This window comes from Homo sapiens, chromosome 1 (assembly GCF_000001405.40).
Source record: "Homo sapiens chromosome 1, GRCh38.p14 Primary Assembly".
NCBI lineage: Eukaryota > Metazoa > Chordata > Mammalia > Primates > Hominidae > Homo > Homo sapiens.
The window spans coordinates 6,228,756-6,242,348 of NC_000001.11; the positions used below are offsets into that span (position 1 = coordinate 6,228,756).

Here is a 13,593-nt window from a genome sequence, read left to right on the forward strand (position 1 = left end):
GTGGCTCACGCCTGTAATCCCAGCACTTTGGGAGGCTGAAGCGGGTGGATCATCTGAGGTCAGGAGTTTGAGAACCGCCTGGCCAACACAGTGAAACCCCTACTAAACCTACTAAAAATACAAAAAATTAGCTGGGCGAGGTAGTGCACAACTGTAATCCCAGCTACTCGCGGGGGCTGAGGCAGGAGACTCACTTGAACCCGGGAGGTGGAGGTTGCAGTGAGCCAAGATCGCACCACTGCACTCCAGCCTGGGCGACAAAGTGAGACTCTGTCTCAAAAAAAAAAAAGAAAGAAAAAGAAATACATGTGGTGGCTCACGCCTGTAATCCCAGCACTTTGAGAGGCCGAGGCGGGTAGATCACTCAACCGCAGGAGTTCGAGGCCAGCCTAGGCAACATGGAAAAACCCCGTCTCTACAAAAATACAAAAATTAGCCAGGGGCTGGGCATGGTGGCTCATGTCTGTAATCCCAACGCTTTGGGAGGCCAAGGCAGGCAGATCACCTGAGGTTGGGAGTTCGAGAACAGCCTGACCAACATGGAGAAACCCCGTCTCTACTAAAAATACAAAATTAGCCGGGTATGGTGGCGCATGCCTGTAATCCCAGCTACTCAGGAGGCTGAGGCAGGAGAATCGCTTGAACCCGGGAGGCAGAGGTTGCAGTGAGCTGAGATCACATGATTGCACTCCAGCCTGGGCAACAAGAGTGAAACTCCATCTCAAAAAAATAAATTAATTAAAAAATACAAAAATTAGCCAGGTGTGATGACACACATCTGTAGTTTCAGCTACTTAGAAGGCTGAGGCAGGAGAATCACTCAAACCCGGGAGGCGGAGGTTGCAATGAGCCGAGATTGTGACACCGCACTCCAGCCTGGGCAGATACTTAGGAGACTAAGGTGGGAGGATCACTTGAGCCCAAGAGGTAGAGGCTGCAGTAAACCATGATCATGCCAATGCACTATAGCCTGGGTGAGAGACCCTGCCTCAAAACAAAACAAAAAACCATACATAAATAAAAAAAATACACACACACACACACACACACACACACACACACACACACATAGAGCAGGTGCAGTGGCTCACACCTATAATCCTTACACTTCTTTTTCTTTTTTTCTTTTTGAGACAGATTCTTGCTGTGTCACCCTGGCTGGAGTGCAGTGGCGTGATCTCAGCTCACTGCAACCTCTGCCTCCCAGGTTCAAGCAAATATTGTGCCTCAGTCTCTCGACTAGCTGGAATTATAAGTAAGAACCACCATGCCTGGCCTAATCCCAGCACTTTAGAAGGCCAAGGTAGGAGGATGGCTTGAGCCCAGGAGTTCAAGACCAGCATGGGCAACAAAGGAGGAACCATCTCTTTTTTTTTTGAGACAGAGTCTCACTCCATCACCCAGGCTGGAGTGCAGTGGCACAATCTCAGCTCACTGCAACCTCCACCTCCCAGGTTCAAGCGGTTCTCAGGTCTCAGCCTCCCGAGTAGCTGAGACTATAGGCATGTGCCACCAGGCCCAACTAATTTTTGTATTTTTAATAGAGATGGGGTTTTGCCATGTTGGCTAGGCTTGTCTCAAACTCCTGATGTCAAGTGACCCACCCACTTCAGCCTCTCAAAGTGCTGGGATTACAGGCAACCGTCCAGGAGAACCACCTCTACAAAAAATTTAAAAATTAGCCGGACGTGGTGGCAACACCTGTAATGTATTCCAGCTACTTGGGAGGCTGAGGTAGGAGGATCACTTGAGCTCAGGAGGTCAAGGCTGCAGTGAGCCATGATCAGAACACTGCACTCCAGGCTGGGCAACACAGCAAGATCCTGTCTTTAAAAAAAAAAAAAAAAAAAAAAGCTGGGCACGGTGGCTCATGCCTATAATCCCAGCACTTTGGGAGGCCGAGGCGGGCAGATCATGAGGTCAGGAGATCAAGACCATCCTGGCTAACACAGTCAAACCTCATCTCTACTAAAAATACAAACAATTAGCCGGGTGTGGTGGCGGGCGCCTGTAGTCCCAGCTACTCAGGAGGCTGAAGCAAGAGAATCGCTTGAACCTGGGAGGCAGAGGTTGCAGTGACCTGAGATCATGCCACTGCACTCCAGCCTGGGCAACAGGGCAACAGAGTGAGACTCCATCTCAAAAAGGAAAAAAAAAAAAAAAAGGCCAGGCACTGTAGCTCAAGCCTGTAATCCCAGCACTTTGAGAGGCCCAGGAAGGCAGACTGCTTGAGCTCAGTAGTTCAAGATGGCTCTGGGCAACTCGAGAAACCCTGTCTCTACAAAAAAAATACGAAAAGTAGTCAGGCATGGTGGTTCGTGCCTACAGTTCCAGCTACTTGGGAGGCAGAGGTTGCAGTGAACCAAGATCGCACCACTGCACTCTGGCCTGGTCAACAGAGCAAGACTAGGTCTCAAAAAAAAAAAAGAAAGAAAGAAAAGAAAAGAAACGAAACAAGGCCTTTTCTTCAGCCTGAGACAGAACAAACCTCCATGGCTCACACAGCTCACTAACACATGGCCTCGGCCCCATTAATACCTATTTCTGATGAAAACTAGCCAAGCTGCCACATGAGTGACAGAGGGCACTCCCTTCCCTAAGCCCCATCTCTGTCCTCACCCCCTCTGGGGTGCTTCAGATCTATTAATAGGTTGAAGGGGCAGAGAAAGGGAGAGGCACAATGGCTCATGCCTATAATGCTAGCACTTTGCGAGGCTGAGGTGGGAGGATCACTTAAGGCCAAGAGTTTGAGACCTGCCCAGGCAACACAGTAAGACCCTGTCTCTACCAAAAAAAAAAAAAGAAAAAAGAAAACAAACAAACAGAGGCAGAAACAGGATGAAGGGATACAGCAGGTAGCTAACAGCACCAAGAATCACCAAGGACTTACGCACCCAGGTTCTGGGCACATAGTGAAAAGCATTAAGGACTACATTAGTTCTCTTGACTTTTATTAAATTATCACTTGAAACGCGCCAAGAAGAACATGTACCTATTATTTAAAGGAGACCAACAACCTCATGAATACACTGAAAACCACTAATTGTATATTTTGAAATGGTGACTTTTATGCTACGTGAATATCACGTTTAAAATGTTACTTAAAAAAAAAAAAAAGAAAAGCAGTGTCATATTTAATATTATACCTGAGTTCCAATACTCCAGTAAAACCACCCGACGTAAGAAGGATGCCGAAACCAAGCGTACACTCCACTGGTCACCAGAGTATGTGTATCTGATTTTTCATTCTGTACCACGTGGTTGAAATTGGAGCCAGCTGTAAACATGGCCGCCTTCCTCAGACATTCTCCGAAGACCACCATCAGCAGCCCTGTGACACTGAGCCAGGTAATCTGCTTCAGTTCTGTGGGAGAGAGACATCAACGACACACGGGGAGTGAAAACACTGGCCTGAGCTCCCCTTCGCACTGCTTAAAATTAACCTATTTTCCCGAAGACAGAAACAGAAAATGTGCTGCTGGGCAATCAGCATTTGTCATCACATTAAAATTTCATAAGAAAACACATTCCCCTAAGTTATGCTGTTCATCAATTTACTTTAAAACACCAATAAGCACAATGAAAGCATCATGGTAAAGAGATGCTCTCCTGCTACAGCTGATGGGCTCTCTGGTTCACGACCCCCGGCCACATGCTCAGTCCTTCATCTGGGGACAAGTATAGCTAAGAGAAGCAAAAAAGGGTCCAAGGTTTCCACCCTGAATCCCAGGAGCCACATGTATTTCATTTCATTGGCTGTGAGACATTCAATTTCAGAGTGCATTCCACATACGGAGGCTTTTATTTTTTGAGACGGAGTTTCACTCTCATTGCCCAGGCTGGAGTGCAATGGCACAATCTCAGCTCACTGCAACCTCCATCTCCTGGGTTCAAGCAATTCTCCTGCCTCAGCCTCCCAAGTAGCTAGAATTACAGGCATGCACTACCAGGCCCGGCTAATTTTGTATTTTTCGTAGAGACGGGGTTTTACCATGCTGGTCAGGCTGGTTTCAAACTCCTGACCTCATGTGATCCACCCACCTCGGCCTCCCAAAGTGCTGGGATTAAAGGCGTGAGCCACTGCACCCGACCTTGTTAGTAAACTCTTTTTTTTTTTTTGAGATGGGAGTCTCGCTCTGTCACCCAGGCTGGAGTGCAGTGGCGCGATCACGGCTCACTGCAACCTCCGCCTCCCGGATTCAAGCAGTTCTCCTGCCTCAGCCTCCCGAGTAGCTGGGATTACAGGCATGTGCCACTACGCCTGGCTTTTTTGTATTTTTAGTAGAGACGGGGTTTCACCATATTGGCCAGGCTGGTCTCGAACTCCTGACCTTGTGATCCACCCGCCTCGACCTCCCAAAGTGCTGGGATTACAGGCGTTCGCCACCGTGCCCGGCCAGTAAACTCTTACATGAAACGTCTAAATATCATCTGATTATAAAATTAGAATCACAACTACTCAAGGTTGGGGCTTCAAATTAGATGGTGCACTATGTGATGCAAACTTTAAAGCAAAAGGTCAGCACGTCCTCGAGTCAATATCCAGAGGCAGAATTCATGAGCGGAGCTCATCCTTTATAAATAGCTTAGTGAGGATAGAGGTCTGCGGAAAATCGCTTGGGGGAGATTAGACCTGAAAGGTGAATCAATGTCACTGTCCTCAGCCTGAATGGGAGCCACCCTTTTCCCCTCCAGAGGGGGACATAAGGCACACGAACCTGGCCAAAAGATATTTTCAAGTGTGAACTCTAACCAAGAAGAAAGAGCAGCTACTGTATACTCCAGGCTGTGATTCAGGAGAAAGGAATCCAAGGACAGACTTTTGGGATTATTGACTGCTGTCACCAAGTATTCAGAATAGTGGAACAATGACAGGGAGCACATGTACCTATTTAAAGACAAAAAGAGAGTTAAGTTGGGACAAGAGAACCAAGTTAACCATAAGTGCACATCTGGGTCTCCTGAGCTGTCCCTAAGTCTATGAGGCCCTGTTCTCACCTGTCTGAGAGTGGACACAGGTACCCATCTGCAGCATCTACTACCTCAGGTTTGCAAAAAGTGGAGTTTTTAAGGGGCTGTTTTTGTTTCTGGTGTTTTGTTTTGTTTTGTTTGAGACAGAGTCTCGCTGTGTCGCCCAGGCTGGAATGCAACTGCGTGATCTCAGCTCACTGCAACCTCCGCCTCCCAGGTTCAAGCGATTCTCCTGCCTCAGCCTCTCAAGTAGCTCAGACTACAGGTGCCCACCACCACGCCCAGTTCATTTTTGTATTTTTAGTAGAGACAGGGTTTCGCTATGTTGGCAAGGCTGGTCTCGAACTCCTGGCTTGGCCAGGCTGGTCTTGAACTCCTGACCTCGTGATCTGCCCACCTCGGCCTCCTAAAGTGCTGGGATTACAGGCGTGAGCCACCGCGCCCGGCAAGGGACTGTTTTTGAATGTCACAGGCAAAACAAACCCATAGGTCACAGAGGCATTATGGGCCCTTCTGTCCGTTAAAAATGACACTACACACAATAAAACATGAAAGAGGGAGATAACAACATAAAGGAGTGATGTATGTCGGATACAAAATTTAACAAAACTGAAATAATTCCGGCAAAGAAGGATTAGATGGCTCAAAATATTGATAAGAGGAGATAAAACTTTTTACCTTGAAGCCACTGGTTCATATCCAGGTCAGACTAGAAGGCTCAAGGGACTGAAATCATAGTGTAGGGAAAAATCCTACAGTGGCTGTGGGGATGCACTAGATGTGACCTAATAGAAATTAGAGATGAAAAAGGCCCATGAAGACAAGCCAGAGCCCTGCCCCTGCCCGCCACCGAGGACCTGCACCCCTTCCGGGAAGGGCTGCTCAAGTTACGGAATGCTGTCACCACAGCTGCGGATGACAGCACCTTTGGGGGTGCCAGGGAGATCTGTTTCTGCCTGATTCACAATCAACCCACAGGCACGAAATCACAAGGGCTGAAATGTGAGCAACTAGGGGGAAGCCAGGAGACTTCGTTTCCAGAGAACCCTGAACAGCCTTCTGCCGGTCACAGATGAGACAGGGATGAGGAAATGCCGCTACAGACCCTCTGATCTGTCCACCCTCGCCTGAAAACCAGTATTTCCGAAGGAATTCTTACCAGCCAAAGTGACTCCAAGAAGACTGGCTAAAACTTAGCAGCGTGCCGCAGCCGAACACAAACCCCAGGAAACAAGCTCGGATGGCTATCTGAAAGGAACCCAAGAGAAGCTCAGTCATTCACAGTCCTCAGAGTACAGATCTGGGCTGCTGACCTTCCCGGAATAGGCAACCCACAGGCAAGCAGATAGAGCCGATTTGCTGAGGTTGAAAGGGAGAAGTGGGCGACCTGGGTTCAAATTCTGCACCCACCGCTCTCTGGCTGTGTGGCCTCCCAAATTATTTAACCTCTCTGAGCTTGCTTCCCCATCTACAGCCAGGGGATAACAGTACCTACCTTTTAGGACTGCAGTAAGGATTACCCACGTAAAACACTTAAGACTAACTGCTACCTACATTTTAGCTGTCATTATTATTATTATTCGTGATTACTATTCAGGGCTGTAGGAAAACTGCTTAAGCCTAGTTTATGAGGTCAGGGCACCCGGGCCTGTGCGCCCAGCCCCACCCACGTCACTGCGGGGCCTTTGACCTGAGACAGGGCAGCAGGTAGGTCTCTGCACCTTAAGTTACATAAAAGCACTCGCGGGCTCGCTCACTCCACCCCACGCGCACCTGCTGAGCTGCACAAGCTGCAATTTAACAACCCACTCCTCGGGTGCAGGGCGCCCGAGCCCGGAGAGAGAGGGTCCCCTCCTGCGACCTGAACTCGCGGATGAAGAGCGCGCGCGTGGGAGGCCACTGCGGGCCCGGGGAGAAAGGTGCCCACGCGCCGCGCCAAGCGGACCGCCGCCCGCCCCGCCGGCCCCCGCCGGCCCCCGCCGGCCTGCACCTGGTAGCGAGGCGGCCGATAGAGCAGCAGCAGCAGCGCGTTGAGCCCGGCCACGTAGAGCGCCAGCCCGGTGCGGCCCTGCAGGCCGGCGCGCGTGAGCAGCGGCAGCGCGAGCACCGAGGCGCCCAGCAGGAAGGTGGCGAGGCTGAGACGCGCCTCAGAGCCCGGCGGAGCCCGCGCCGCGCAGCCCGCCATGGCGCCGGGCGGCGGACTAGCGGGCGGCGGCGCCGGCTGTAGCCCGGAGAAACGCGCCGGCTGCGCCTGCGCACTGTGCCGCCGATGCCGGCCCGGGAAGGGCAGCTGCCCGCAGCTGCGCGCCGCCTGCCAGTTCTCGCGAGAACTCCGGCCCGCCCTGTTGCTGTCCGGAATTTGGCGGGAGCGCCCCGCCCGCCCGCCCCTCCCCGCCCCTCGGGGACATCCGGGCTCTGAGCCAGACTCTGTGCCGGGCGGGGGCCGGGAAGTGGTGGGAGAAGTCGCCGCCCGCGTCTGTCCAAACTTAGTCCCAAACTCAGGAGGTTCCTGTCCCAAGAAGCAATGTAAAGTTTGAAACGAGCCGAGCGCGGTGGCTCACGCCTGTAATCCCAGCACTTTGGGAGGCCGAGGCTGGCGAATCATTTGAGGTCAGGAGTTCGAGACCAACCTGGGCAACATGGGGAAACGCCGTCTATACTAAAAATACAAAAATTAGCTGGGCGTGGTGGCGCACGCCTTTAACCCCAGCTACTTGGTGAGGCTGAGGCAGGAGAATCGCTTGATCCGGGGAGACGGAGGTTGCAGTGAGCCGAGATTGTGTCACTGCACTCCAGCCTGGGTGACAGAGTGACACTCCATCTCAAAAAAAAAAATTTTGAAACGGCCGCACCCTCGCCGGCCCTGCGTCGTCCCCGAAAACCAGACGCCCTGGGGCGCGGGGCCAAGTGCGGCGACCTCCTGCCCTCCCTCTGCGGCTCCCTGGAAACCGGCCTGGACAACGGCACCTGGGCATCCATGCAACGGGACCACCGCCCGCTTAAATTCCTGTTGTGGAACAAGGCTGGACGGTGATGGGAATGCTCAGGATATGTTAGGTTTTCTTTTTTTTTTGAGACGGAGTCTCGCTCTGTCGCCCAGGCTGGAGTGCAGTGGTGCGATCTCGGCTCACTGCAAGCTCCGCCTCCCGGGTTCACGCCATTCTCCTGTCTCAGCCTCCCGAGTAGCTGGGACTACAGGCGCCCGCCACTGCGCCCGTCTTATTTTTTTGTATTTTTAGTAGAGACGGGGTTTCACCGTGTTAGCCGGGATCCATCTCCTGACTTCGTGATCCGCCCGCTTCGGCCTCCCAAAGTGCTGAGATTACAGACGTGAGCCACCGCGCCCTGCCTATATTAGGTTTTTAAATAGCAGGAGGCAAAGCTTTTCGGTGTGATCCTGACTTCACTTGGGGAAAAAGGGCAGGTATCTGAGCCTGGGAAAATGATCAAGCTATCAGCCAAAATGGTATAACGCCGACTATATATGTACCTTTTTTTTTTCTTTTTTTCTTTTTTAGACACAGGGTCTCACTGTGTTGGCCAGGCTGGAGTGCGGCAGTCTGGAACTCCTGGGCCCAAGTGATCCTCCAATCAGCCTCACAAAGCACTGGAATTACAGGTATGAGCCACCACCCCTGGCCTATCTTTAGGTAGTGGCACTCTTGGTGATTTTTATTGTCTTTATCTGTTTTTGCAGTTTCCATACTGCCTACAATGAACACAGGATACTTTTTTTTTTTCAGATGGAGTTTTGCTCTTGTTGCCCAGGCTGGAGTACAATGGCGCAATCTCGGCTCACTGCAACCTCCGCCTCCGGGTTCAAGTGATTCTCCTGCCTCAGCCTCCTGAGTAGCTGGGATTACAGGAGCCTACTACCACGGCCAGCTAATTTTTTTGTATTTTTAGTAGAGACGGGGCTTTACCATGTTGGCCAGGCTGGTTTCAAACTCCTGACCTCAGGTGATCCACCCGCCTCGGCCTCCCAAACTGCTGGGATTATAGGCATGAGCCACCGTGCCCGGCCCATAGATTACTTTTATAATCAAGTTTTTCTTTACTTTTTAAAGAGTAAATTCTCTCACCTCAGGTAGCTCAGAGAGCTGCGCTGGAGGAGAAAAGCCAGTAAGTGAACAACTGGAATAAACTCTGCAGGGGTGGCAGTGGGGGCAGAAGGAGAGCAAGGATGGGGAGCAAAGAGGGACCCCAGGGGAGGCCCTCAGCTTGGAGGGCGGCAGGGCGAGGAGGCTGCGAGGAACAGACGCCAGAGCTAGGCCTTGGGGCCCTTGGGGATGGACAGCCTGCCCTCCATTGGAAATGAGATCAAGGAGGGAGTGAGGGCTTGGCGTTTGAAAGGCACAGAGGCGGGAGGGAGAAAGGCTGAGAAGGGATGGGGACAGGCCCTCGGGGAGGCTGGCATCAAGTGGTGGGTCAGCGAGAGAGGCAGGCGGTCTGTGAGCCCTGCATCTGAGCCCCTCTCCACTCTTGTCCCTGCAGGTCCTGGCAGGAGCTCTGGTACCTGGGAAGCTGGATGGAGAGCCTGGGCCAGAATCCCGGACCCCTCACCTCTGCGGCCTAGCTTTGTGACCTTGGCAAATCCATTCTATGCACCTCCATTTCCTGTACAGTGGGGATCCTTATTTCTCTGGCACAGATTGGTATTTGTTCTGTAAAGCCCAGTACCACTTTATTTTATTTTAGTTATTGATTTTTTTGAGACAGGGCCTCACTCTGTTGCCAAGGCTGGAATGCAGTGGCGAGATCATAGCTCACTGCAGCCTCAAACTCCTGGGCTCAGGCCATCCTCCTGCCTCGGCCTCCTGAGTAGCTGGGACGACAGGCGTGCACCACTGCGCCTAGCTCCAGTACCATGTTTAAACGGTGCTCAGAAAACGTGCTAAACTTGGTGGATGGGAATTGAAAAGAGATTTAATGTTTTAAAAATCAAAGTCACTCAGCTGCAGTGCCACATGGGAAGGAGGCCTGGATGTGAATGTTCCTGGGAGCTGAGAGCTCCTGTGACTGTCGCCAGTTTCCTGTGGTCTCCCACAGACTCAGGACATCTCCCTCTGCTCCAGGACACCTCAGGACCACCAGAGGGCACTCATCGCACCTTCACCCCTGGAAGGGAGCTGGTCCTGGGGCCAAAACCCACTGTGCCTGGGAAGCCCTTCCTGGCTTCTGCTCTCCTCAATGTATGACAGCCCTGATTTACCCCCAGGGACTGTTGCCACTCGGGGTTGTAGAGTAATATGTAACCAGACTGGAGAACCACAGCAATGCTCTCTCCTCTGCCCATCACCTCCCCTTGGCCCCTCCCTCTTCATCAGCCCCATTTTGGAGAAGGGAGAAAGAAGGGAGAGGCAGCAGTCTCCTCCCAGGTGGGGCCGGACTCCAGGGAAGGAGAATTTTCAGAAGTTGCTGGAGTTGCCGAATCTGTCAGGGCCCAGGGTTCACAGAGCAGTGATGGAGGAGAAAGGAGAGGAAGCAGATCTAAGCACACATGGGCATCAAACCAGAGGAACAAAGTCACATGCAGAGGGCTGCACATAGACACAGGGAAACACACACACGGAGATGCACAGAAACACGCAGACCCCATGCAGGGACCTGCTTTCCCGCCACAGAGGAAAGCAATCTGATCAAACAGACCCACTGTGCACCCAGCCCTCCATGCTTGGGGACAACACACCTACAAAAATATAAGAAAAAAAAGGAAAACTGCTCTGCCTGGGATGCCTTGCTTGACTTTTCTTGTAAATAAGCATTTGAATGTGTTTTGTTCTAGGAGCTTTCGAGGCAGGCACAAAGGGAGCCCTTTCTCATGCAGGAAGGTCCCTCTGCAACCTCCCCCTTCCCTCCCCTTCCTGCCATCCGCCTACAGGCTGAGGTGGCTTTATTTCTGGGACCCGAGTGTGGATACCTCCTGTTTTAGAGAACCCTGAGAACCACTGTGCTATTTCCAAGTTAAACTCCAGGCCGAGATGAAATTAGGCTTCTTTTTCTTTCTCTTTTTTTTTTTTTTTTTTGAGATGGAGTCTCACTCTGTTGCCCAGGCTGGAATGCAGTGGCACGATCCCAGCTCACTGCAACCTCTGCCTCCTGGGTTCAAGCGATTCTCCTGCCTCACCCTCCCGAGTAGTTGGGATTACAGGCACCTGCCACCACACCCAGCTAATTTTTGTATTTTTAGTAGAGACGGGGTTTCACCATGTTGGCCAGGCTGGTCTCGAACACCTGACCGCGTGATCCGCTGGCCTCGGCCTCCCAAAGTGCTGAGATTACAGGAGTGAGCCACCATGCCTGGCCAGATTGGTGATTTTTTTTAATCACCTGCAGCTCCCAGTCATTCACAGGCCTCTGCCCCATCCCCTGTCCATATGGAAGCTGAGAGGGCCGCAGGGAGGGGCCTGTCCAGTGTGGCCGCAGCTCTTCCCAGGAGGGAATCCCTGTCATCCAAAAGTTTTCTTTCCCCTCCTCTGGCCATTCCAGGCTAAAGGAATGAAAGCTCCCTCTCTCTAGGCTGGAAAACAGGTAAACGATATGTAATTTATGAGCACCATCAGCCCAAAGTGCACAAGTCATATATGCACAAAGGGGCCGGGTAAATATTTAAAGATTAGAGCCAGCTGGGGAGAAACACAAAAGGCCAGGGCAATGGGGGTCTTTCTGAATTCACTCTCCCCGAGCTGGGCCAGGTCAGCATTGATGCACTCGCTGGAGTCCCGGCCTTTGTCCTCTGAAGGGCCCTTGTCTGCTGGGCTATTGGGAGCCCCAACACAGCTAAAGAGAGTTAAACAATCGCAGCCTCTCCAACCGCATCTGGAGACAATTGGCTGAGTCATTTCAGAGCTTTTGCTGTGTGTCCCAATAGTTAATTACATGGAGCAATCACTTCATTTCACTTTGAAATGCATCTGCAGAGGGGGACAACAGATTTCTCCCTCGTCACCTGCATCCACAGTAGCCTGTGCGGCACTCACCAGTTAGCACTGGTTGAAACCTCTGGAAGTACAGAAGGGAAGGGGCTGCCACACGGAGCCACACGGCTGTCCTCTGGGATGGGCCGCAGGTAGGGCTCTTGTCCTGGGGCCCGAAAACCTCTCCCTACTCTTGGTTCCAGACCTGACATAATGTTCTTTTTTTTTTTTTTTTTTTTTTTTTTTTGTCAAACTCAAGAAAACCAAATGAGGGGGGAAGGGGTGGCACAGACACTTGTCACTTTCTGCATTAAATTCCCCAACATGAGACAGGAGGGGGCCCTGAGCAGCCTTGGAGGCTCTAAGAGCCCTCAGAAGTTAGAGAAGGAAGTTTTTTTCCTTGAATGAGCATAGGGGGGCCTGGGTCTCCCCACTTCTCCTCCTGGACCTGTGCTCCTTTCCAGGCCGCCTTGGGGACCCCAGATGCTAAAGATGGAAAGGGAATTGGTGGCCTACATCCCAGCTTGCGTAAGCCCCGCTTCTAAGTTGGTCCATGCCCTTCCTGGCAGCCCGAGAGCACTTTGTCCTGCTTGCCCTCAGAGGATAGGGTGAACCCACTGCCATTCCCCCTCCAGCTCTGAAAATACCTCCTGGTCTCTGTGAGCCCCTTTGGAGCCAGGCCTGCCTGAGGCTGTGCGAGGATGCCCAGACTCAGGGCTTGTAATCAGCGTGACAGGCTGGGGTGGAGGGTGGACCCCGAGTCTTCAGCCTGGGTTTCCGGGAAGGGTCCCTGTAGAGACTAGTCTGCTGTCTTTCCCAATGACCTTGTCAGATGCAAAGCACAATGACTTTAACTTAGTAGGGGAAGTGGCTGCCCAGAGATAGGAGCAAGAAGTGAGGGTAAAGTGGCGATGGTGGGGAGAAACTCGGCTCAGAGCTCGGGAAAGGGGAGGGTGGAAATCGCACCAAGATCTCTCCCCACCTTGATCCTGCGCGACCCTCGGCCAGTGTAAGGCGAGTAGCGGGCCAAGGAGGCTGTTTGTGATGGAGGAGCCACGGGTGGGGGCGTCAGAAAGTAGGGGGATCATTCCAGGTGGGGAGACCACTGACCGAAAACGGGCCACAGGACAGGGGGCGCGGCGGGCAGTGTCGGGGTTGGGGTCGGGGGGCAACGGAGGCGGAAGTCCATTCAGTGGACCAGGGCGGAGCGACGCCTGAGAATTCCGCCCAGGCCTTGAGGCGGGCCTCGCCTCCCGCAGCCAAAGCAGAACATTGCGAATTAGAGCATTTTGCGGTCAATTTTCCACTGCTTAAGAAACACTAAGCTATCCACGTGAGCGTCCCCCCGCCCCCGGCCCGATGCGCCTGGAATCCCAGGGGACGGGCTTGGGAGGGGTGGTGGCCCTGGGAACGGCGGGTGTCGGGGTTCGGGCGGGGGCAGCCTCGTGGCCCCTTTATGGCGGCCCGGACTCAGGAGAGGGGGCGGGCCCGGCACCCAGCGGCGGGCCGCGAGAGCTGCGCGGAGGGCCATTGGTTTGCTAATGCCCTCGAGTTGAAAGGCGCGGGCGGCGGTTTATAGGGAAGGATTGTAATTAGAGGACAAATTGCCCCGCTGCCCCGCAGCTCGAGAACGCGGGGAGGGGGAGGCCCGCCGGGGCGCGACGCGCGCCAGGCCTCTGTGCAGATGTGCAGCAGCTGGAAGTCC

General features: G+C 52.8%; 1 protein-coding gene and 1 long non-coding RNA gene across 4 annotated transcripts in view, besides 4 other annotated features; one reads left to right on the forward strand and one right to left on the reverse strand.

Annotated features, from left to right (window-relative positions):
- Positions 1-7,209, reverse strand: part of ICMT (isoprenylcysteine carboxyl methyltransferase) — a 14,772-nt gene extending 7,563 nt beyond the window's left edge. The window contains exons 1-4 of one of the 3 annotated variants that reach the window (NM_012405.4): positions 6,962-7,209; positions 6,131-6,219; positions 4,719-4,888; positions 3,147-3,364 (exon numbers count right to left, since the gene is read on the reverse strand). In NM_012405.4, coding sequence (NP_036537.1) covers positions 3,147-3,364; positions 4,719-4,888; positions 6,131-6,219; positions 6,962-7,156 — 672 coding nt within the window. In that variant the 5' untranslated portion in view covers positions 7,157-7,209. Of the gene's footprint in view, positions 1-3,146; positions 3,365-4,718; positions 4,889-5,649; positions 5,757-6,130; positions 6,220-6,961 lie in introns of those variants that run through there. The other 2 variants (XM_047416592.1, XM_011541140.3) reach the window with 2 other exon arrangements.
- Positions 6,878-6,937: a silencer, noted in NCBI's record as "silent region_141". NCBI's record gives its function as "represses an Ori minimal core promoter by ATAC-STARR-seq in GM12878 lymphoblastoid cells {active_cell/tissue: GM12878}" and the evidence as "EXISTENCE:reporter gene assay evidence [ECO:0000049][PMID:35858748]".
- Positions 7,148-7,477: a silencer, noted in NCBI's record as "silent region_142". NCBI's record gives its function as "represses an Ori minimal core promoter by ATAC-STARR-seq in GM12878 lymphoblastoid cells {active_cell/tissue: GM12878}" and the evidence as "EXISTENCE:reporter gene assay evidence [ECO:0000049][PMID:35858748]".
- Positions 7,442-8,414: an enhancer, noted in NCBI's record as "H3K27ac-H3K4me1 hESC enhancer chr1:6296257-6297229 (GRCh37/hg19 assembly coordinates)". NCBI's record gives its function as "activates a minimal SCP1, AML or CMV promoter by ChIP-STARR-seq in naive H9 embryonic stem cells {active_cell/tissue: H9 hESC(naive)}" and the evidence as "EXISTENCE:reporter gene assay evidence [ECO:0000049][PMID:30033119]".
- ICMT-DT (ICMT divergent transcript) lies at positions 7,485-10,689 on the forward strand. The gene is made up of 5 exons (NR_103534.1): positions 7,485-7,581; positions 8,211-8,395; positions 8,490-8,590; positions 9,059-9,093; positions 9,466-10,689. It is a non-coding gene; the product is annotated as an ICMT divergent transcript (long non-coding RNA).
- Positions 11,058-11,804: an enhancer, noted in NCBI's record as "OCT4-H3K27ac-H3K4me1 hESC enhancer chr1:6299873-6300619 (GRCh37/hg19 assembly coordinates)". NCBI's record gives its function as "activates a minimal SCP1, AML or CMV promoter by ChIP-STARR-seq in naive and primed H9 embryonic stem cells {active_cell/tissue: H9 hESC(naive and primed)}" and the evidence as "EXISTENCE:reporter gene assay evidence [ECO:0000049][PMID:30033119]".